This window comes from Homo sapiens, chromosome X (genome assembly GCF_000001405.40).
Source record: "Homo sapiens chromosome X, GRCh38.p14 Primary Assembly".
Taxonomy (NCBI): Eukaryota; Metazoa; Chordata; class Mammalia; order Primates; family Hominidae; genus Homo; species Homo sapiens.
Window position 1 is genome coordinate 78,145,805 of NC_000023.11, and position 24,746 is coordinate 78,170,550.

Consider the following 24,746-nt stretch of genomic DNA (forward strand, 5'->3'; position numbering starts at 1 on the left):
TCCCGCCAACAGTGTAGGGGGCTCTCTTTTTTCCACACCCTCATCAGCATTTGTTATTGCCTGTCTTTTGTATAAAAGCCATTTTAACTGGAATGAGATAATATCTCATTGTAGTTTTGATTTGTATTTCTCTGATGGTCAGTGATGTCAAACACCTTTTCATATACATTTTCCATTTTTGTGTCTTCTTTTGATAATGTCTATTCAACTCTTTTGCCTATTTTTTAAAATCAGATTATTAGATTGTTTTCCTATAGAGTTGTTTGAGCTTCTTATATTGTCTGGTTATTAATCCCTTGTCAGATGGGTAGTTTGCAAATATTTTCTCCTATTCTGTGGGTAGTCTCTTCACATTGTTGGTTGTACCATTTGCTGTACAGGAGCTTTTTAACTTGATGTGATCTCATTTGCCTATTTTTGCTTTGGTTGCCTGTGCTTGTGGGGTATTACTCAAGAAATCTTTGCCAAGATTGATGCCTCTTGGAATTTCTCCAGTGTTTTGTTTCAGTAGTTTCATAGTTTCAGGTCTTAGATTTAGGTATTTAATCCATTTTGATTTGATTTTTGTATATGGCAAGAGATATATGAGTCTAGTTTCATTCTTCTGCATATGGATATTCAGTTTTCCCAGCACCATTTATTGAAGAGAGTGTCTTTTTCCCAGTGTACATTCTTGGCACCTTTGTCAACAATGAGTTCACTGTATTTGTGTGGATTTGTTTCTGGATTTTATACTTTGTTCCATTGGTCTATGTGTCCGTTTTAATGCCAGTACCATGTTGTTTTGGTAACTGTAGCTCTGTAATATAATTTGAGGTCAGGTAATGTGATTCCTCCAGTTTTGTTCTTATTGCTTAGGATAGCATTGGCTATTCTGGAGTTTTATTGGTTCTATAAACATTTTAGGATTGTTTTTTCTGTTTCTGTGAAGAATGTCATCGGTATACTGATGGAAATTTTGTTGAATCTGTAGATTGCTTGTACCTTACAGATCTCCTGGCCTGTAAGGTTTTCTCTGAAAAGTTTGGTGCCCGATGTATTGCAGCTCCATTGTATGTTATTTGTTTCTTTTCTCTTGCTGTTTTTAGGATCCTTTGTTTGTCCTTGACCTTTGGGGTTCTGATTATTAAATGCCTTGAGGTAGTCTTCTTTGGGTAGTAATATGGTTTGACTGTGTCCCCAACCAAATCTCGTCTTGAATTGTAACTCCCACATTTCCCACATGTCATGGGAGGAACCCGGTGGGAGGTGACTGAATTATGGGGGTGGGTCTTTCCTGCACTGTTTTTGTGAGAGTGAATGAGTCTCATGAGATCTGAAGGTTTTAAAAATCTACGGTTTTTCTGCACAAGGTCTCTCTTTTTCCCTGCTGCCATCCATGTAAGACGTGACTTGCTCCTCCTTGCCTTCTGCCATGATTGTGAGGTCTCCCCAGCCACGTCGAACTGAGTCCAATTAAACCTCTTTCTTTTGTAAATTGCCCAGTCTCAGGTATATCTTTATCAGCAGTGTGAAAATGGACTAATACAATAAATTGGTACCAGAAGTGGGGTGCTGCTGAAAAGATACCCAAAAATGTGGAAGTGACTTTGGAACTGGGTAACAAGCAGAGGTTGGAACAGTTTGGAGGGCTCAGAAGAAGACAGGAAAATGTGGGAAAGTTTGAAACTCCCTAGGGACTTGTTTAATGGCTTTGCCCAAAATGCTGATAGCAATATGGACAAGAAAGTCCAGGTTAAGATGGTCTCAGATGGAAATGAGGAACTTGTTGGGAACTGGAGCAGAGGTGACTCTTGTTATGTTTTAGCAAAGAGACTGGTGGAATTTTGCCCCTGCCTTAGAGATTTGTGGAACTTCGAACTTGAGAGAGATGATTTAGGGTATCTGGTGGAAGAAATTTATAAGCAGCAAAGCACTCAAGAGGTGACTTGGGTGCTGTTAAAGGCATTCAGTTTTATAAGGGAAGAAAAGCATAAAATTTTGGAAAATTTGCAGCCTTACAATGGCATAGAAGAGAAAATCCCATTTTCTGAGCACAAATTTAAGCCCACTGAAGAAATTTGCATAAGTAACAAGGGGCTGAATGTTAATCCCCAAGACAATGGGGAAAATGTATCCAGGGCATGTCAGAGGTCTTCAGGGCAGGCCCTCCATCACAGGCCCAGAGGCCTAGGAGGAAAAAGTGGTTTTGTGGGCCAGGTCCAGGGTCCCTGTGCTGTGTTCAGCCTAGGGACTTGCTGCCCCACATCCCAGCCACTCCAGCCATGGGTGAAAGGGGTCAATGTAGAGCTTGGGCTGTGGCTTTAGAGGGTTCAAGCCTCAAGCCTTGGCAGCTTCCACATGGTATTGAGCCTGAAAGAGCACAGAAGTCAAGAATTGAGGTTTGGGAACCTCTGCCTAGATCTCAGAGGATGTATGGAAATGCCTGGATCTCCAGGCAGAAGTTTGCTGCAGGCGTGGAGCTGTCATGGGGAACCACTGCTAGGGCAGTATGGGAGGGAAATGTGGGGTCAGAGTCCCCACAAAGAGTCCCTACTGGGGTACCACCTGGTGGAGCTGTGAGAAGAGGGCCACTGTCCTCCAGACCCCAGAATGGTAGATCCATTGACAGCTTGTACTGTGTATCTGCAAAAGCTGCACACTCACTGCCAGCCTGTGAAGGCAGCCAGGAGGGAGGCTATACCCTGCAAAGCCACCGGGCTAGAGCTACCCAAGACCATGGCAACCCACCTCTTGCATCAGCTTGACCTGGATATGAGACATGGAGTCAAAGGAGATCATTTTGGACCTTTAAGATTTGTCTGCCCTGCTGGATTTTGGATTTGCACGGGGCCTGTAGCCCCTTTCTTTTGGCCAATTTCTCCCATTTGGAATGGCTGTATTTACCCAATGCCTGTACCTCCATTGTATCTAGGAAGTAAGTAGCTTGCTTTTGATTTTACAGGCTCATAGGCAGAAGTGACTTGCCTTGTCTCAGATGAGACTTTGGACTGTGGACTTTTGAGTTAATGCTGAAATGAGTTAAGACTGGGAGACTGTTGCAAAGGCATGATTGGCTTTGACATGTGAGGATATGAGATTTGGAAGGGGCCAGGGTTGGAATGATATGGTTTGGCTATGTCCCCACCCAAATCTCATCTTGAATTGTAACTGCTGCAATTCCCACGTGTTGTGGAAGGTACAGTGGAAGGTAATTGAATCATGGGGGCGGGTCTTTCCCCTGCTGTTTTAACAATAGTGAATAAGTCTCAGGAGATCCGATGGTTTTATCAAGAGGAGTCCCCCTGCACAATCTCTGTCTTTGCTTGCTGCCATCCATGTAAGTCATGACTTGCTCCTTCTTGCCTTCCACCTTGATTGTGAGGCTTCTGCAGCCACGTGGAACCGTAAGTCCATTAAACCCCTTTCTTTTGTAAATTGCCCAGTCTCGGGTATGTCTTTATCAGTGGTGTGAAAATGGACTAATAGACCTTCTTAGGTTAATTTTTAGGTATTTAAATTTATTTGTGGCAATTTTAAATAGGATTTTTTTTGTTTATTTTTTATTCACATTGTTTACTGTTGGTATATAGAAATGCTACTGATTTTTGTATGTTGATTTTGTATTCTACAACTTTACTGAATTTGTCAGTTCTGATGGTTTTTTGATGGAATCTTTAGATTTTTCTAAATATAGGGTTATATCATCTCCAAACAAGGATAATTTGACTTCTTCCTTTTCAGTTTGGATGCCCTGTATTGCTTTCTCTTGTCTGATTGCTCTAGCAAGCACTTCCAGTACTATGGTGAATAATGGTAGTGAAAGTGGGCATCCTTGTCCTGTTCCATATCTTAGATGAAGGGCTTTCAGTTATTCCCCATTTAGTATGATACTAGCTATGGGTCTGTCATATATGGCTTTTATTATGTTGAGGTATGTTCCTTCTATACCCATATTTCTGATGGTTTTTATCCTGAAGGGATGTTGAATTTTATCAAATGCTTTTTCACCATCAATTGAAATACTCATATGGTTTTCATTCTTCATTTTGTTGCTAAGATCTATCACGTTGATTGATTTGTGTTTGTTGAACCATTTTTGCATCCCAGGGATAAATCCCACTTGATCATGATGAACAATCTTCTTAATGTTTTGTTCAACTTGGTTTGCTAGTATTTTGTTGAGGATTTATACATGAATATTCATCAAAGATATTGGCTTGTAGTTTTCTTTTTTTGAAGTGTCGTTGTCTGGTTTTGGTATCAGAGTAATACTGGCCTCATAGAAAGAGTTTGATAGTATTCTATCCTCCTCTATTTTTCAGAATAGTTTTAGTAGAATTGGTATTAGTTCTTTAAATATTTCATAGAATTAATCAGTAAAGCCATCAGGTCCTGGGCTTTTCTTTCGTGGGAGACTTTTTATTATGTCTTTGATCTCATTATTTGTTATTGATCTGTTCAGGTTATGGATTTCTTTATGTTTCAATCTTGGTAGGTTGAATGCATCTAGGAATTTATCCACTTATTTTATAGTTTCCAATTTATTTGGATATAGTTGCTCATAGTAGCCACTAATGGTGCTTTGAATTTCTGCAGTATTAGTTGTAATGTTTCCTATTTCATCTGTGACTTTATTTATTTGGCTCTTTTCTCTTTTTTTCTTTGTCAGACTAAAGGTTTGTCAATTTTGTTTAACTTCTCAGAAAACTAACTTTTTGTTTCATTAATCTTTTGTATTCTTAATTTCAGTTTCATTTAATTTTTATTTGTTTCAATCTTTATTATTTCTATCTTTCCATTAATTTTGGGTTTGGTTTTGTCTTGTTTTCTAGTTCTTTTTAAGATGGATTGTTGTTGTTTATTTGAATTTTTTCCTCTTTTTTGATGTAGGTACATATAGGTATAAACTTTTTTTTTTCACTACTGCTTGTGTTTTATCCCATAGGTTTTGGTATGTTATGGTTTCATTATCATGTGTTTTCAAAATTTTTCTTGTTATTAATTTTTAGTTTTATTCTATTGTGGTCAGAGAAGAAACTTGATATTATTTCATTTTTTTAAATTTTAAGGTGTGTTTTGTGACCTAGCATATGGTACATCCTTGAGAATGATCCATGTGCTGAGGAGAAGAATATATATTCTGCAGCTGATGAAATGTTCTGTAGATGAAATGTTCTGTAATATCTATTAGGTTCATTTGTCCTGTAGTACAGATTAGGTCCAATGTTTCTTTGCTGATATTGTGTCTGGAAGTCCTGTCCAATACTGAAAGTGGGATGTTGAAGTATCCAGTTATTGTTTTATTAGACTTTATCTCTCTTTTTAGCTCTAATAATATTTGTTTTGGATATCTGGGTGCTCCAGTGTTGGGTGTATATATATTTTAATTTGTTATAAGCTCTTGCTGAATTGGCCCCTTTATCTTTATATAGTGACCTTCTTTGTAGTTTTTGTCTTGAACCCTATTTCTTTTCAAGTAAGTTCAGCTAGTCCTGCTCTTCTTTGGTTTCCCTTGGCATGGAGTACCTTTTTCCATCTCTCTATTGTCAGTCTATGTGTGTCTTTCTAGGTGGAATGTGTTTCTTGTAGGCAACAGATTATTAGGTCTTGCTTTATTTTTATCTATTCAGCCACTCTATGTCTTTTATTTTTTATTTCCATAGGTTTTTGGGGAACATGTGGTATTTGGTTACATGAGTAAGTTCTTTAGTGGTGATTTGTGAGGTTTTGGTGCACCCATCACCTGAACAGTATACACTGAAGTTAATTTGTAGACTTTTATCACTATCCCCTTTGGACCCTTTCCCTGAGTCCCCAGAGTCCATTGTATTATTCTTATGCCTTTGCATCCTTATAACTTAGCTCCCACTTACGAGTGAGAACATATGATGTTTGGCTTTCCATTCGTAAGTTACTTCATTTAGAATATTAGTCTTCAATCCCATCCAGGTGGCTGCAAATGCCATTAATTCATTCCTTTATGGCTGAGTAGTATTCAATCATGTACATATATAGCACAGTTTCTTTAACCACTCATTGATTGATGGGCATTTGGGCTGGTTCCATATTTTTGCAGTTGTGAATTGTGCTGCTATAAACATACTGAAATTGAATGTATTCACAATCAGGCTGATAGTTAACTCTAAAAATAGAGTACGGGATCAAACAAATGTATTCCTCAATGGAATAAGTGAGGTTGAAACTCGGTCTAATGTATGAGGAAACCATACCATGTGAATGACCTAGTGGTTTAAAACAGTTTTTTTTTTTCCATAGGTTATTGGGAAACAGGTAGTGTTTGGTTACATGAGTAAGTTCTTTAGTGGTGATTTGTGAGATTTTGTTTACCCATCACCAGAGCAGTATACACTGCACCCTATTTGTAGTTTATCCCTTTCCCCCAGAGTCCCCAAAGACTATTGTGTCATTCTTATGCCTTTGCATCCTCATAGCTTAGCTCGCACTTATAAGTGAGAACATAGGATGCTTGGTTTTCCATTCCTCAGTTACTTTACTTAGTATAATAGTCTCTCATCTCATCCAGGCCTTGATACTGAGTTTTTTTTTTTTGAGAAATATCCATACTGTTTTCCATAGTGGCTTTAATAATTTGTGTTTCTATGAGCAGTGTATAGAGTTTACTTTTCTTTTTTTTTCAGTTTTTTTTTTAGTATACTTTAAGTTTTAGGGTACATGTGCACAACGTGCAGGTTTGTTACCTATGTATACATGTGCCATGTTGGTGTGCTGCACCCATTAACTCGTCATTTAACATTAGGTATATCTCCTAATGCTGTCCCTCCCCACTCCCCCCACCCCACAACAGGCCCAGGTGTGTGATGTTCCCCTTCCTGTGTCCATGTGTTCTAACTGTTCAATTCCCACCTATGAGTGAGAACATGCGGTGTTTGGTTTTTTGTCCTTGCAATAGTTTGCTGAGAAGGATGGTTTCCAGCTTCATCCATGTACCTACAAAGGACATGAACTCATCCTTTTTGTGGCTGCATAGTATTCCATGGTGTATATGTGCCACATTTTCTTAATCCAGTCTATCATTCTTGGACATTGGGCTTGGTGCCAAGTCTTTGCTATTGTGAATAGTGCTGCAATAAATATACATGTGCATGCATCTTTATAGCAGCATGATTTATAATCCTTTGGGTATATACCCAGTAATGGGATGGCTGGGCCAAATGGTATTTCTAGTTCTAGATCCCTGAGGAATCGCCACACTGACTTCCACAATGGTTGAACTAGTTTACAGTCCCACCAACAGTGTAAAAGTGTTCCTATTTCTCCACATGCTCTCCAGCACCTGTTGTTTCCTGATTTTTTAATGATCGCCATTCTAACTGGTGTGAGATGGTATCTCATTGTGGTTTTGATTTGCATTTCTCTGATGGCCAGTGATGATGAGCATTTTTTCATGTGTCTTTTGGCTGCATAAATGTCTTCTTTTGAGAAGTGTCTGTTCATATCCTTCGCCCACTTTCTGATGGGGTTGTTTGTTTTTTTCTTGTAAATTTGTTGGAGTTCATTGTAGATTCTGGATATTAGCCCTTGGTCAGATGAGTAGATTGCAAAAATTTTCTCCCATTCTGTACGTTGCCTGTTCACTCTGATGGTAGTTTCTTTTGCTGTGCAGAAGCTCTTTAGTTGAATTAGATCCCATTTGTCAATTTTGTCTTTTGTTGCCATTGCTTTTTGTGTTTTAGTCATGAAGTCGTTGCCCATGCCTATGTCCTGAATGGTATTGCCTAGGTTTTCTTCTAGGGATTTTATGGTTTTAGGACTAACATTTAAGTCTTTAATCCATCTTCAATTAATTTTTGTATAACGTGTAAGGAAGGGATCCAGTTTCAGCTTTCTACATCTGGCTAGCCAGTTTTCCCAGCACCATTTATTAAATAGGGAATCCTTTCCCCATTTCTTGTTTTTGTCAAGTTTGTCAAAGATTGGATAGTTGTAGATATGCGGCATTATTTCTGAGGGTTCTATTCTGTTCCAGTGGTCTATATCTCTGTTTTGGTACCAGTACCATGCTGCTTTGGTTACTGTAGCCTTGTAGTATAGTTTGAAGTCAGGTAGCGTGATGCCTCCAGTTTTGTTCTTTTGGCTTAGGATTGACTTGGCAATGCAGGCTCTTTTTTGATTCCATATGAACTTTAAAGAAGTTTTTTCCAATTCTGTGAAGAAAGTCATTGGTAACTTGATGGGGATGGCATTGAATCTATAAATTACCTTGGGCAGTGTGGCCATTTTTACGATCTTGATTCTTCCTACCCATGAGCATGGAATGTTCTTCCATTTGTTTGTATCCTCTTTTATTTCCTTGAGCAGTGGTTTGTAGTTCTCCTTGAAGAGGTCCTTCACATCCCTTGTAAGTTGGATTCCTAGGTATTTTATTCTCTTTGAAGCAATTGTGAGTGGGAGTTCACTCATGATTTGGCTCTCTGTTTGTCTGTTATTGGTGTATAAGAATGCTTGTGATTTTTGTACATTGATTTTGTATCCTGAGACTTTGCTGAAGTTGCCTATCAGCTTAAGGAGATTTTGGGCTGAGATGATGGGGTTTTCTAGATATACAATCATGTCATCTGCAAACAGGGACAATTTGACTTCCTCTTTTCCTAATTGAATACCCTTTATTTCCTTCTCCTGCCTGATTGCCCTGGCCAGAACTTCCAACACTATGTTGAATAGGAGTGGTGAGAGAGGGCATCCCTGTCTTGTGCCAGTTTTCAAAGGGAATGCTTCCAGTTTTTTCCCATTCAGTATGATGTTGGTTGTGGATTTGTCATAGATAGCTCTTATTATTTTGAGATACTTCCCATCAATACCTAATTTATTGAGAGTTTTTAGCATGAAGGGCTGTTGAATTTTGTCAAAGGACTTTTCTGCATCTATTGAGATAATCATATGGTTTTTGTTGTTGGTTCTGTTCATATGGTGGATTATATATGTTGATTTGCATATATTGAACCAGCCTTGCATCCTAGGGATGAAGCCCACTTGATCATGGTGAATAAGCTTTTTGATGTGCTGCTGGATTCGGTTTGCCAGTATTTTATTGAGGACTTTTACGTCTGTGTTCATCAGGGATATTGGTCTAAAATTCTCTTGTTTTTTTGTGTCTCTGCCAGGCTTTGGTATCAGGATGATGCTGGCCTCATAAAATGAGTTAGGGAGGATTCCCTCTTTTTCTATTGATTGGAATAGTTTCAGAAGGAATGGTACCAGCTCCTCCTTCTACCTCTGGTAGAATTCGGCTGTGAATCCATCTGGTCCTGGACTTTTTTTGGTTGGTAAGCTATTAATTATTGCCTCAATTTCAGAGCCTGTTATTGGTCTATTCAGAGATTCAACTTCTTCCTGGTTTAGTCTTGGGAGGGTGTATGTGTCGAGGAATTTATCCATTTCTTCTAGATTTTCTAGTTTGGTTGCATAGAGGTGTTTGTAGTATTCTCTGATGGTAGTTTGCATTTCTGTGGGATCAGTGGTGATATCCCCTTTATCATTTTTTTATTGCATCTATTTGATTCTTCTCTGTTTTCTTCTTTATTAGTCTTGCTAGTGGCCTATCAATTTTGTTGATCGTTTCAAAAAACCAGCTCCTGGATTCGTTGATTTTTTGAAGGGCTTTTTGTGTCTCCATTTCCTTCAGTTCTGCTCTGATCTTAATTATTTCTTGCCTTCTGCTAGCTTTTGAATGTGTTTGCTCTTGCTTCTCTAGTTCTTTTAATTGTGATGTTAGGGTGTCAATTTTAGATCTTTCCTGCTTTCTCTTGTGGGCATTTAGTGCTATCAATTTCGCTCTACACACTGCTTTGAATGTGTCCCAGAGATTGTGGTATGTTGTGTCTTTGTTCTTGTTGGTTTCAAAAAACATCTTTATTTCTGCCTTCGTTTCGTTATGTACCCAGTAGTCATTCAGGAGCAGGTTGTTCAGTTTCCATGTAGTTGAGCGATTTTGAGTGAGTTTCTTAATCCTGAGTTCTAGTTTGATTGCAGTGTGGTCTGAGAGACAGTTTGTTGTAATTTGTGTTCTTTTACATTTGCTGAGGAGTGCTTTACTTCCAACTATGTGGTCAGTTTTGGAATAGGTGTGGTGTGGTGCTGAAAAGAATGTATATTCTGTTGATTTGGGGTGGAGAGTTCTGTAGATGTCTACTAGGTCCGCTTGGTGCAGAGCTGAGTTCAATTCCTGGATATCCTTGTTAACTTTCTGCCTCATTGGTCTGTCTAATGTTGACAGTGGGGTGTTAAAGTCTCCCATTATTATTGTGTGGGAGTCTAAGTCTCTTTGTAGGTCTCTAAGGATTTGCCTTATGAATCTGGGTGCTCCTGTATTGGGTGCATATATATTTAGGATAGTTAGTTCTTCTTGTTGAATTGATCCCTTTGCCATTATGTAATGGCCTTCTTTGTCTCTTTTGATCTTTTTTGGTTTAAAGTCTGCTTTATCAGAGACTAGGATTGCAACCCCTGCCTTTTTTGTTTTCCATTTGCTTGGTAGATCTTCCTCCATCCCTTTATTTTGAGCTTATGTGTATTTCTGCGTGTGAGATGGGTTTCCTGAATACAGCACACTGATGGGTCTTGATTTTTTATCCAATTTGCCAGTCTGTGTCTTTTAATTGGAGCAATTAAGCCATTTACATTTAAGGTTAATATTGTTATGTGTGAATTTGATCCTGTCATTATGATGTTAGCTGATTATTTTGCTCATTAGTTGATGCAGTTTCTTCCTAGCCTCGATGGTCTTTACAATTTGGCATGTTTTTGCAGTGGCTGGTCCCAGTCGTTCCTTTCCATGTTTAGTGCTTCCTTCAGGAGCTCTTTTAGGGCAGGCCTGGTGGTGACAAAATCTCTCAGCATTTGCTTGTGTGTAAAGGATTTTGTTTCTCCTTCACTTGTGAAGCTTAGTTTGGCTGGATATGAAATTCTGGGTTGAAAATTCTTTTCTTTAAGAATGTTGAATATTGGCCTGCACTCTCTTCTGGCTTGTAGAGTTTCTGCCAAGAGATCAGCTGTTAGTGTGATGGGCTTCCCTTTGTGGGTAACCCGACTTTTCTCTCTGGCTGCCCTTAACATTTTTTCCTTCATTTCAACTTTGGTGAATCTGTTCCATTGTTGGTGTGGAGCTGCATTCCTTTGGAGGAGGAGAGGTGCTCTGATTTTTAGAGGTTCTAGTTTTCCTGCTCTGTTTTTTTCCCCATCTTTGTGGTTTTATCTGCCTTTGGTCTTTGATGATGGTGACGTACAGATGGGGTTTTGGTGTGTATGTCCTTTCTCTTTGTTAGTTTTCCTTCTAACAGTCAGGACCCTCAGCTGCAGGTCTGTTGGAGTTTGCTGGAAGTCCACTCCAGACCCTGTTTGCCTGGGTATTGGCAGTGGAGGCTGCAGAACAGTGGATATTGGTGAACAGCAAATGTTGCTGCCTGATCGTTCCTCGGGAAGTTTTGTCTCAGAGGAGTACCTGGCCATGTGAGGTGTCAGTCTGCCCCTACTGGGGGGTGCCTACCAGTTAGGCTACTCGGGGGTCAGGGACCCACTTGGGAGGCAGTCTGTCCATTCTCAGATCTCCAGCTGCATGCTGGGAGAACCACTACTCTCTTCAATGCTGTCAGACAGGGACATTTAAGTATGCAGAGGATTCTGCTGCCTTTTGTTTGGCTATGCCATGCCCCTAGAGGTGGAGTCTACAGAGACAGGCAGGCCTCCTTGAGCTGTGGTGGGCTCCACCCAGTTTGAGCTTCCTGGACACTTTGTTTACCTCCTCAAGCCTTGGCAATGGCAGGCACCCCTCCCCCAGCCTCACTGCCACTTGCAGTTTGATCTCAGACTGCTGTGCTAGCAATGAGCAAGGCTCCAGGGGCGTAGGACCCTCTGAGCCTTGTGTGGGATATAATCTCCTGGTGTGCTGTTTGCTGAGACTGTTGGAAAAGTGCATTATTAGGGTGGGAGTGACCCGACTTTCCAGATGCCGTCTGTCATCCCTTTGACTAAGAAAAAGGGAATTCCCTGACCCCTTGCACTTCCCGGGGGAGGCGATGCCTCGCCCTGCTTTGGCTCATGCTCGATGTGCTGCCCCCACTGTCCTGCACCCGCTTTCCCACACTCCCCAGTGAGATGAACCCGGTACCTCAGTTGGAAATGCAGAAATCACCCGTTTTCTGCGTCGCTTATGCTGGGAGCTGTAGACTGGAGCTGTTCCTATTCGGCTATCTTGGCTCCACCCCCTAGAGTTTACTTTTCTTGAGAGAGGGCGGATCATGGCAGATGAGAGGCAGGGATAGATTGCAGTTCTGGATAGAGCAGCATTGTGGAGGCTTGCATTGTGAATTTTAGCTCCAGATCGACTGCAAGGACAAAACAGCAATTCTGAGAAGACCCACAGACCCTCTGAAGGAAGAAGACTGCTCCTGCAGGACCCAGGAGACACCCCAAATACTGTGAGTGCCCTAACTGTGGAAGTGGGAAAGGGAGACCCTCCTTTCCGGAACACATACCCCCACTGGAGAGTTTGAAGGTCTTTTAATGAGAGACTTTCCAGACTTTATCTGGAGCTGATTCAAGTTAGCAGAGCCGAGTGAAATACAGGGGTGGAAGAGGCAGCAGGGAGGCCCTGGGAGCTTGCTGAATCCCCAAGCAGCCTATTCCTGCCTGACACCACAGGGATCCATCAGGAGGGAGGCCAGAGGAGCAGGAGGTAAGACCCCACCAGGGAGAAGGACTTCCCTAGCTGAACTCTGCAACAATTTGAACATGGTGAGAATTCTCCTAGCCAGAACTCAGGGGAGGGCGTGAATCCGGCTTACAGACTTCACAGGTGGGGGGAAGAACTAAAGTCCTTTTCTTCGGCGGATGGGAGGTGGAAGCCTCGGGCAAGCTTTCAAGCCTGTCCACCTGGAAAGAGACTTGGGGCTGTTGCGGGTAGCACGGTGGAAGTGAGACCAGCCCTTCGGTTGGGTTGGAGCTGGGTAAGGCCTGTGACTGCTGGCTTTTCCCCACTTCCCTGACAACCTACATGACTCAGCAGAGGCAGCCCTAATCCTCCTAGGTACACAACTCCAGTGACCTGGGAACCTTACCCCATCCCCCACAGTAGCCGCAGCAAGACCCCCTCAAGGAGAGTCTGAGCTCAGACACACCTAGCCCTGCCCCCACCTGATGGTCCTTCCCTACCCACCCTGATAGTGGAAGACAAAGGACATGTAATCTTGGGAGTTCTAGGGCCCTGCCCACAGCTGGTCCCTCTTCACACTACTACAGCTAATGCTTTCTGGAAAGCATCACCTCCTGGCAGGAGGTCAACCAGCACAAAAATAGAGCATTAAACCACTAAAGCTAAGAACACTCACGGAGGGTTCTTGCAGCCTTCACCACCTTTATCAGCACAGGTGCTGGTATTCAGTTGAGAGACCCATAGATGGTTCACATCACAGGACTCTGCAGAAACCCACAGAACCAGCAAGGAGCTGGGTAGACTCGCTGGGTGGCTAGACCCAGAAGAGGGACAATAATCACTGCAGTTCAGCTCACAGAAAGCCACAATCACAGGAAAAGGGGATGAGCACTACATCAAGGGAATACTCAGTGGGACAAAAAAATCTGAACAACAGCCTTCAGCCCTAGACCTTCCCTCTGACAGAGCCCACCCCAATGGGAAGGAACCAGAAAAGCAACCCTGGTAATATGACAAAACAAGGCTCATTAACACCCCCCAAAAATCACACTAGTTTAACAGCAATGGATCCAAACCAAGAAGAAATCCCTGACTTACCTGAAAAAGAATTCAGGAGATTAGTTATTAAGCTGATAAGGGAGGTACCAGAGAAAGCAAAGCCCAATGCAAGGAAATTCAAAAAACGATACAAGAAGTGAAGGGAGAAATATTCAACAAAATAGATAACTTAAAGAAAAAACAAAAATTCAGGAGACTTTGGACACACTTTTAGAAATGCAAAATGCTCTGGAAAGTCTCAGCAATAGAATTGAACAAGTAGGAGAAAGAAATTCAGAGCTCGAAGACAAGGTCTTCAAATTAACCCAATCCAACAAAGACAAAGAAAAAAGAACAAGGAAATATGAACAAAACCTCCAAGAAGTTTGGGATTATGTTAATTCACCAAACCTAAGAATAATTGGTATTCATGAGGAAGAAGAGAATTCTAAAAGCTTGGAAAAACATTTTGGGGGGGATAATCAAGGAAAACTTCCCCAGCCTTGCTAGAGACCTAGATATGCAAACATAAGAAGCACAAAGAACACCTGGAAAATTCATCACAAAAACATCTTCACCTAGGCAAATTGTCATCAGGTTATCCAAACTTAAGACCAAGGAAAGAATCTTAAGAGCTGCGAGACACAGCACCAGGTAACCTATAAAGAAAAACCTGTCAGATTAACAGTAGACTTCTCAGCAGAAACCCTACAAGCTAGAAAGGATTGGGGCCCTATCTTTAACCTCCTCAAACAAAACAATCTTCAGCCAAGAATTTTGTGTCCAGCAAAACTAGGCATCATATATGAAGAAAAGATATAATCATTTTCAGATAAACAAATGCTGAGAGAATTTGCCGTTACCAAGCCACCACTACAAGAACTGCTAAAAGGAGCTCTAAATCTTGAAACAATCCTGGAAACACATCGAAACAGAATACTTTAAAGCATAAAGTACACAGGACCTATAAAACAAAAATTCAAGTTAAAAAACAAAAAACAAAGGACGCAGGTAACAAAGAGCATGATGAATGCAATGGTACTTCACATTTCAATACTAACATTCATAAATGGCCTAAATGCTCTACTTAAAAGATACAGAACTGCAGAATGGATAAGAACTCACCAACCAACTATCTGCTGCCTTAAGAAGACTCACCTAACACATAAGTTTCATTCACATCCATGTGAAGAGACCACCAAACAGGCTTTGTGTGAGCGATAAAGCTTTTTAATCACCTGGGTGCAGGCGGGCTGAGTCTGAACAGAGAGTCAGTGAAGGGAGATAGGGGTGGGGTTCTTTTATAAGATTTGGGTAGGTAAAGGAAAATTACAGTCAAAGCAGGGTTGTTCTCTGGCGGGAAGGAGTGGGTGTAACAAGGTGCTCAGTGGGGGAGCTTTTCTGAGCCAGGATGAGCCAGGAAAAGGAATTTCACAAGGTAATGTCATCACTTAAGGCAAGGACCAGCCATTTTCACTTCTTTTATGGTGGAATGTTATCAGTTAAGGCAAGGAGGGGCCATTTTCACTTCTTTTATGGTGGAATGTCATCAGTTAAGGCAGGAACCGGCCATCTGGATGTGTATGTGCAGGTCACAGGGGATATGATGGCTTAGCTTAGGCTCAGAGGCCTGACAATAAGGACTTACATAAACTTAAAGTAAAGGGGTGGAAAAACGCATTTCATGCAAATGGACACCAAAATCAAGCAGGAGTAGCTATTCTTATATCAGACAAAACAAACTTTAAAGCAACAGTGGTTAAAAGAGACAAAGGGGGACATTATATAATGGTAGAAGGCCTATCCAACAGGAAAATATCACAATCCTAAACATACATACACCTAACACTGGACCTCCCAAATGTATAAAACAATTACTAATAGACCTAAGAAATGAGATAGACAGTAACACAATAATAGCGGGAGACTTCAGTACTCCACTGACAGTACTAGACAGGTCATCAAGACAGAAAGTCAACAAAGAAACAATGGATTTAAACTATACCTTGGAACAAATGGACCTAACAGATATATACAGATCACTTCATCCAACAACCACAGGATACACGTTCTATTCAACAGCCTGTGGAAATTTCTCCAAGATAGACAACATGAAAGACCATAAAACGAGCCTCAATAAATTTTTAAAAATTGAACTTATATCAAGCACTCTCTCAGACCACAGTGGAATAGAACTGGAAATCAACTCCAAAGGGAACCCTCAAAGCCATGCAAATACATGGAAATTAAATAACCTGCTCCTGAATGAGCATTGGGTCAAAAATGAAATCAAGATGGAAATTAAAATTTTCAGGACAGGCGTGGTGGCTCACGCCTGTAATCCCAGCACTTTGGGAGATGGAGGTGGGCGGATCACCTGAGGTCAGGAGTTCTCGAGACCAGCTTGACCAACATGGTAAACTCCATCTCTGCTAAAAATACAAAAATTAGCCAGGTGTGGTGGTGGGTGCCTGTATTCCCAGCTACTTGGGAGGCTGAGGCATGAGAATTGCTTGAACCTGGGAGGTGAAAGTTGCAGTGAGCCGAGATCGTGCCACTGCACTGCAGTCTGGGTGACAGAGTGAGACTCTGTCTTAAAAAAAAAATTTTCTTTTTCACACTGAATGACAATAATGACACAACCTATCAAAACCTCTGGGATACAGCTAATATGGTGCTAAGAGGAAAGTTCATAGCCCTAAACACCTACATCAAAAAGTCTGAAAGAGCACAAACAGACAATCTAAGGTCATGCCTCAAGGAGCTAGAGAAACAAGAGCAAACCAAAACCAGCAGAAGAAAGGAAGTAACCAAGATCAGAGCAGAACTAAATGAAATGGAAACAAACAAAAAAAAAGTGTGAAAGATAAATGAAACAAAAAGCTGGTTCTTTGAAAAGATAAATAAGATTGATTGACCATTAGTAAGATTAACCAAGAAAAGAAGAGAGAAAATCCAAATAACTCCACTGAGAAACGAAACAGGAGATATTACAACTGACACCACCAAAATACAAAAGATCATTCAAGGCTGCTATGAACAGCTTTACGCACATAAACTAGAAAACCTACAAGAGATGGATAAATTCTTGGAAAAAATACAACCCTCCTAGCTTAAATCAGCAAGAATTAGATACCCTGAACAGACCAATAACAAGCAGTGAGATTGAAATGTTAATTTAAAAATTACCAACAAAAAAAAGTCCAGGACCAGATGGATTCACAGCAGAATTCGACCAGACATTCAAAGAAGAATTGGTGCCAATCCTTTTGACACTATTCCACATGATAGAGAAAGAAGGAACCCTCCCTAATTCATTTTATGAGGCCAGCATTACCCTAATACCAAAACCGGGAAAGGATACAACCAAAAAAGAAAACTACGTACTGATATCCTTGATGAACATGAATGCTAAAATCCTTAACAAAATACTAGCTCACCGAATCTGACAACATATCAAAAAGATAATCCACCGTGATCAAGTGGGTTTCATACCAGGGATGCAGGGATGGTTTAACATACACAAGTCAATAAATGTGATTCACCACATAAACAATTTAAAACAAACATCACATGATCATCACAATAGATGCAGAAAAAGCATTCAACAAAGTGCAGCATCACTTTATGATCAAAACTCTCAGCAAAATCGGCATACAAGGGGCATACCTTAATGTAATAAAAGCTGTCTATGACAAACCCACAGCCAACATGATACTGAATGGGGAAAAGTTCAAAGCATTCCCCCTGAGAACGGGAACAAGACAAGGATGCCCACTCACACTACTCCTCTTCAACATAATACTGGGAGTCTTAGCCAGAGCAATCCAACAAGAGAAAGAGATAAAAGGCATCCTAATCAGTAAAGAGGAAGTCAAACTGTCCCTGTTTCCTGATGATATGATAGTTTACCTTGAAAACCCTAAGGACTCCTCCAGAAAGCTCCTAGAACTGATAAAAGAATTCAGCAGAGTGGGCGCGGTGGCTCATGCCTGTAATCCTAGCACTTTGGGTGGCCAAGGCAGGTGGATCACCTGAGGTCAGGAGTTCGAGACCAGCCTGGCCAACGTGGTGAAACCCTGTCTCTACTGAAAATACAAAAATTAGCCAGGCGTCGTCATGCACACTTGTAATCCCAGCTACTTGGGAGGCTGAGGCAGGAGAATCGCTTGAACCTGGGAGGTGGAGGTTGCAGTGAGCTGAGATTGCACCACTGCACTCCAGTCTGGGTGACAAGACTGAAACTCCATCTCAAAAAAAAAAAAAAAAATCACCGAAGTTTCTGGATACAAGATTAATGTACACAAATCAGTAGCTCTTCTATACACCAACAGTGACCAAGCAGAGAATCAAATCAAGAACTTGACCCCTTTTACAATAGCTGCAAAAAAAAAAAAAAAAAAAAAATACCTAACAAAGGAGCCAAAAGTCCTCTACATGGAAAACTACAAAGCATTGCTAAAAGAATCAGATGACACAAAACATCCCATACTCATGGATGGGTAGAATCAATATTGTGAAAATGACCATACTGCCAAAAGCAATCTAGAAATTTAATGCAATCCCCATCAAAATACCACCATCATTCTTCACAGAGTTAGAAAAAGCAATTCTAAAATTCATATGGAACCAAAAAAGAGCCTGCATAACCAAAGCAAGACTAAGCAAAAAGAACAAATCCAGAGGCATAACACTGCCTGATTTCAAACTATACTATAAGGTTGTAGTCACCAAAACAGCATGGGACTGATATAAAAATACACACATAGACCAATGGAACAGAATAGGGAATCCAGAAATAAAGCCAAATTCTTACAGCCAACTGATCTTTGACAAAGCAAACAAAAACATAACGTGGGGAAAGGACTCCCTTTTCAACAAATGCTGCTGAGATAATTGGCTAGCTACATGTAGGAGAATGAAACTGGATCCCTTATCTCTCACATTATACAAAAATCAACTCAAGATGGATTAAGGACTTAAACCTAAGACCTGAAACTATAAAAATTCTAGAGGATAACATTGGAAAAACCCTTCTAGACATTGGCTTAGGCAAGGATTTCATGATGAAAAACCCAAAAGCAATTGCAATAAAAACAAAGATAAATAGCTGGGACCTAAGTAAACTAAAGAGCTTTTGCATGGCAAAAGGAACAGTCAGCAGAGCCCAGGCTGATTTTGAACTCCTGGGCTCAAGGAATCCTCCCACCTCAACCTCCCAAAAAGCTGGGATTACAGGCATGAGCCATCAAGCCTGGCCTTCTTTGTCTTTTTAATTATAGCCTTCTTACTGGTTTAAGATGATATCTTATTGTGGTTTTGATTTGCTAATGTTGAGCATTTAAAAATATACCTGTTGGCCATTTGTATGTCTTCTTTCATCACCTATCCTTTGGGCTATTGCAATGGCCTCCTAATTAATAAATATATATTGTGACAGCATTTTTTCCAACACAAAAAATAGTGACACCCAACAAATCTGACAAAGGATTTTTTTTAAAAAAAGACAACTTTCAGTTATGAAAGGCAATCTGAGGGATGGACATCAGATGTCAAGTATCAGGGTTCGGGTTATGAATCTTACAGTTCTAGTAGTTCAGAAGAGGAAGAGATCACTTCCATTTTGGTTATCAGGGAAACATTTATACAAGAGCTTGGTTTTAAGGAACAAGATAGGCAGAGAGCACAGTATGAACAAATGCACATAGCATATTTGTTAGTGGTGATGTTGGAGTAGACTTATTTGTTTGGAATAGAGAGTTCATGCAGTTTTTCCTAATTGATGATAATTATCATTTTGGGTGCTTGTTAAATATACAGATTAGCAAACCTCTGGATTAGAAATTTTGATTCAATAGGTCTGAGTGAGGGTATAGGAGTCAGTGTTTTTAACAAGCATATCAGATGATTCTTAGGTTCAGGGAAATTTGGGAAACACAGAACTGTAGAGAGAATAATGGCAGATCAAGGTGGAATGGAAAGTAGGAGCTAGATTATGTAAGACTTTCAATGCCAGGTGCAGCAGCTCAGAATGTTGTCACCGAATATGAGCAATAGCTAACATTTGGAAGTCTGTGATTATCTTCTGGTTTCCACACTGGAAATGCTGCCAGTATTATGACTGTGGATAGCATAGGTTATGAGCTGTTGTCTTGTTTACATTGGAGGAACTGTCAGGTTTACCTGGACTCTGCAAAAATATGTAGTTGCAGGAATGAGACCTTTAACTTCATAGCTCAAGCAAGGGCCTGTGTAAATCAAGTGCACTGATTTTTCAATTTGTCCACACTCTAGCCTGTAATCAGTGATTTCAGCACCATTGCACACAGGAATCTGAAAGATGCAGTAGAGAAATTGAGCTCTTTCTCTAGGTAGTCACTATACTAGATACTGTCGAGAGTTACAACATGATCCTTTCAGTGCCAAAGCTTATAATCTATTAAATGCTATGAGATACAGACAAGTGTAGAAATAGTTAAGCATAAGGCAGTATACTATAATTAACATTAAAAGGCTCAAATAAAATTAAGAAAAAGGATCATCTAATTCACATATTAGATGAATGCTTTTTAAAAATTTATTAAAATTATTTTTAAGTGAGTTACTTAAAAAACAGCAAACATATATACTAATGTTGCTTTATATTACTATTGGTTACTGGGATGAAACACAAACCCCAGTATTCTCTGGTATTTATACAGTGATACAGTGATATAATCATACCTGTCATCTATTATTAAGAGACTAAGGCTTTTTGTTAACGCTACACATACCCTGCTAGAGTCTGGGGAAAAGGGAAGAAAAATTTAAAGATACTTACGTGGCTAAATAATTAGGTCATTTTTTTAAGAGCTTTGTTTGAATGGGAAAATATTTACATGGATGTAAAAAAGTTATTTAGTTATTTTTTTTTGAGATGGATTTTTGTTCTTGTTGCCCAGGTTGGAGTGCAATGGTGCCATCTTGGCCCACCGCAACCTCCGCCTCCAGGGTTCAAGTGATTTAGTGATTCTCCTGCCTCAGCCTCCCGAGTAGCTGGGATTACAGGCATGCGCCACCACGCCCGGGTAATTTTGTATTTTTAGTAGAGACAGGGTTTCTCCATGTTGGTCAGGCTGTCTTGAACTCCTGACCTCAGGTGATCCGCCTGCCTCGGCCTCCCAAAGTGCAGGGATTACAGGTGTGAGCCACTGCGCCTGACCAAAAGTTTTTTTTTTTTTAAAGCTTCATTAACTTATAGCCACATTTCTTATGTGTCATACTGTATAGTTACATGCAAGCAAACATGACCAGAGATTTCCCAATGAAGCTTTAAAAAATGCTAAGTTCTATAAATTGATTTAACTTTATCTCTTATTTTAGTTTTAAAAATTAAATTAGTGACCTATTGATATTCTACTTGGTTTTCCAAATGTATTACTTTCCTCAAATATAGGCTCTGTAGGGCAGGATTAGTATTGCTATAGCCTTCCTAATACCATTAGTATTACGTTCTAGGTGTGTTCCAGAAACCATGATCCAAGATTTGTGAGATTCTAATTCTAAACTCTGACTCCTTAGGGAGTTCCAGAGTTTCCAAAAAAGGTTCTAAAAAAATTACTGTGCTTTTATAATAATCATAAGTTAATAACAATACATTGATAACATACTCCCCAACTAACAACAGCACAGTTTGGACCCTTTCAGGTTAGTACAGGTGTACCACATTGAGAAGGAGGGCCTGGGACTGATGGCGGTTTCACACTTCATTGAAAGATCCAAACTACAAACAAACAAATAAGCAAACATACAAATGATTGTGCAGGCATGATCACTTCCCACCTTGACGGGAAGTAGCAGCATATATCCATCCAAAGTGAAATGGACTACAAATGGGACAACTTAACAATATAACTTCTCTATCCCTATTTGCTGTTTTTAACTAGAAACTGTGGATTCTACGGGAATTAATTTACTCAATCTGTATTTCACGTCAGAGCCAGGGTGCCCTTGTGTGTCATCTTGGTTACCGTTTGCTTTTTTGACATATACAAGTTCTTCAGGGTTTCCATTAGCAAGATAATTGTCTATAAAAATATACAAAATCAAACTTAAAGTATTTTGTAAATAGTTTTAAAGGTGCTTCTCTAGAATTATACAAAATAATTTGAGAAGACTGTTAAAACAAAGTAACAGAAGACTCAAAATGTAGTAATTTGTGTCAATTAATTTTTAAATTTTATTTACAGACTTCAAAAAAATTTGTGGTTTCAATTACTAAGTAAGAAACAACTGGCCAGGCTCGGTGGCTCCTGCCTGTAATCTCAGTGCTTTGGGAGGATGAGGTGGGAGGATCACTTGAGGCCAGGAATTCATGACCAGCCTGGGCAACAAAGTGAGACCCTGTTTCTACAAAAAATAAAAAATGTAGCTGGATATGACAGTGGATGCCTGTAGTCCCAGCTACTCAGGAGGCTGAAGAGGGAGGTTTGCTTGAGCCCAGGGGTTCAAGGCTGCAATGAGCTATGATTACTGTCAGTGCACTCCAGCTCGGGTGACAGAGTGAGACCCGGAGTCTAAAAAATGAACAAAGTAAAAAATGAAACAATTGGCTGACCAATATTTGATTATATTCTAAAAGAAAATCACTGGTTCTGCTTTAGTATCATTTAATATATAAAAAACCAAAAGTTACAAAACAGGAAATGTAGGCTTAGTCATACAAATCACACAAAGAAGCCTCACTGCATAGGAGATTGGTTTCTCTGGACTTTGTCTTACCATTCAAGGGTGGAGGACAGCAAGATGCAGGAGAAAGAGTAGGTGTTTGAATAGTCAATATATCTGAAGGCTAAGAGAAAGAAAAAATACCTTATGACTGTACTGATTCAAGTTCAGTTTTGTAAAACATTTAGTAATATGATACAGCTCATTTCAGTCTTCAATTTAAAATGTTTTCCATCCTTCTTTTCTCACCTGTCTGGCCTATAAGTGAGGTATAAAAGACTCTCAGTTTATATGCAGTATCATGTTGCAGGTGATTATGTAGAAATTCCTTTGTTGCCACTGTAAATTATGTTTCAGAGATTCACTGAAGGGATAAAAGCAAATTTATTCAATTTATTTATAGGTAGCTTATTTAAAAAAATTTTTTTTTGAGCGGAGTCTTGCTCTATCGTCCAGGCTGGAGTGTAGTGGTGTAATCTTGGCTCACTGCAACCTCTGCCTCCTGGGTTCAAGCGATTCTCATGCCTCAGCCTCCCAAGTAACTGGGATTACAAGCCTGCGCCACCAAGCCTGGCTAATTTTTGTATTTTTAGTAGATACGGGGTTTCACCATGTTGGCTAGGCTGGTCTTGAACTCCTGACCTCAAGTAATCCACCCGCCTTGGTCTCCCAAAGTGTTGGGATTACAGGCGTGAGCCGCTGTGCCCAGCTTGCTTATAAATGTTACCGGTTTCCATGATATCTCATGTATATACTAAGAATAACAATTTTGGAAATGAAGTTGGTCCAGTTATCTATTTCAATAGTAAAATAATATATGCCCCGTGAATTAACCATAAAATCGTAAGATATCAGTCAGTAAACATGATTTATTACTAAAAACTGCAGAAATTCAAGTAATTTCTCGGGTTTAGGTGATAGTATTATCTCAATGCCAATTTCCTAGTTTTGATCATTGTACTATGGTTATGTAAAATATTAATCTTAGGAGAAGCTGAGTGAAGATTTTACATGGGAACTCTCTATACCTTTTTTTTTTTACAACTTCTAGTGAGTCTAAAATTGTTTCAAAATAAAATATTTTTAAAAATCATGATGCCTTACCATCTGAATTTTCACTAACTTCTAAACTGTAACTTGAAATGTATGTTCCACCATTATCTTTGGATGGTTCTGAAAAGAGAAATAAAATCAAAATTATTCTTGAATAAACTTAAAAGTCTCCCACTGGAATGTTATCTCATGAGTTAAGAAACATTTTTCACAGAGGAAAAAATATAAACATGAAACAATAGTGTATTAATAACCACATATTAATAAAGATAATAAAAACATAATTCGAGTTACATGTTTGGAATATTAGAAATGAAGCATTTAAATAAATATTGTAAAGTTATTTGCAAGAGATTGAAAAGCTAAGTATATGTGCCATAAAGTTGATTTCTCTAGTTTAGAGAGAAAATAATTTGTATGAATATAATTTCTTAAGCTGACATTTATCATTGATGTGGCCTTCTAATTGTGGCCTCCATATTAGATGTAATCTTATTTAAGGACACATAAAGCTCAATAATGTGTTCATTTGCAAATTAATGAGATAGCAAGAGAGAACTAGAAAAATAATATAGTTTACAACTAAACTCATTTATATGGCAGAATATCTCACATATAAATGACTAAAAGAACATTTTATAAAGCTGAGGACAATGAGAGGAAGATTTCTTCTCAATAGTTAATATTAAGACAGAGGGAAAATTTTAAATACAAAAACATTACTTACTCCATCCAATTTTTACACTGTGTGCATGGACCTTTCCCTTTATATATGGTTTTCTAGGGGATCCGGTTTTATCTGGACAGGTTGTATATTTTACTTCTCCACTGCTGTTGCTTCTTCCTTCCATATTGCAGGCAAAGATCTGTTTAAATAAAAGAGGATGATATGGTTGACCATTGCAAATAAACGTCTGATTTGAAAATGTTCAGTTTGCAAATATAAAGTAAGTTGAGTGAGCATTTCTAAGAACTAAATGCAAAATAAGGTTTGATTTCAAACAAAATATACTCATTTCTCTGGTGAAAAGTATAATTTTATATTAAAATATGACACAAATTTATAAAGTATAGCCACATACCCTTGTATGTAGTACTTCTCTGAAGACTTCTTGTAGTGCATGAAAGGTCTTCTCCATTGTATTTCGGCTTAAAATCTAAACCCTAGAAATACAATGAACTTTGGAACTGGGCAAGCCTGCATTACAACTTCAACTTATTTTCCATCTGGGTGATTCTGAGCAAGTCCCTTAGTCTCTCTGAACTTCAGTTTCTCTAT

The 24,746-nt window shown here is 39.5% G+C and overlaps 1 pseudogene, besides 1 other annotated feature; it reads right to left on the bottom strand.

Annotated features, from left to right (window-relative positions):
• Positions 11,968 to 13,167: an enhancer, noted in NCBI's record as "CDK7 strongly-dependent group 2 enhancer chrX:77413269-77414468 (GRCh37/hg19 assembly coordinates)". NCBI's record gives its function as "activates an origin of replication core promoter dependent on BRD2, BRD4, P300/CBP, MED14 and CDK7 cofactors, with strong dependence on CDK7, by STARR-seq in HCT116 cells {active_cell/tissue: HCT116}" and the evidence as "EXISTENCE:reporter gene assay evidence [ECO:0000049][PMID:35650434]".
• On the bottom strand, positions 19,892 to 24,333 carry FNDC3CP (fibronectin type III domain containing 3C, pseudogene; annotated as a pseudogene).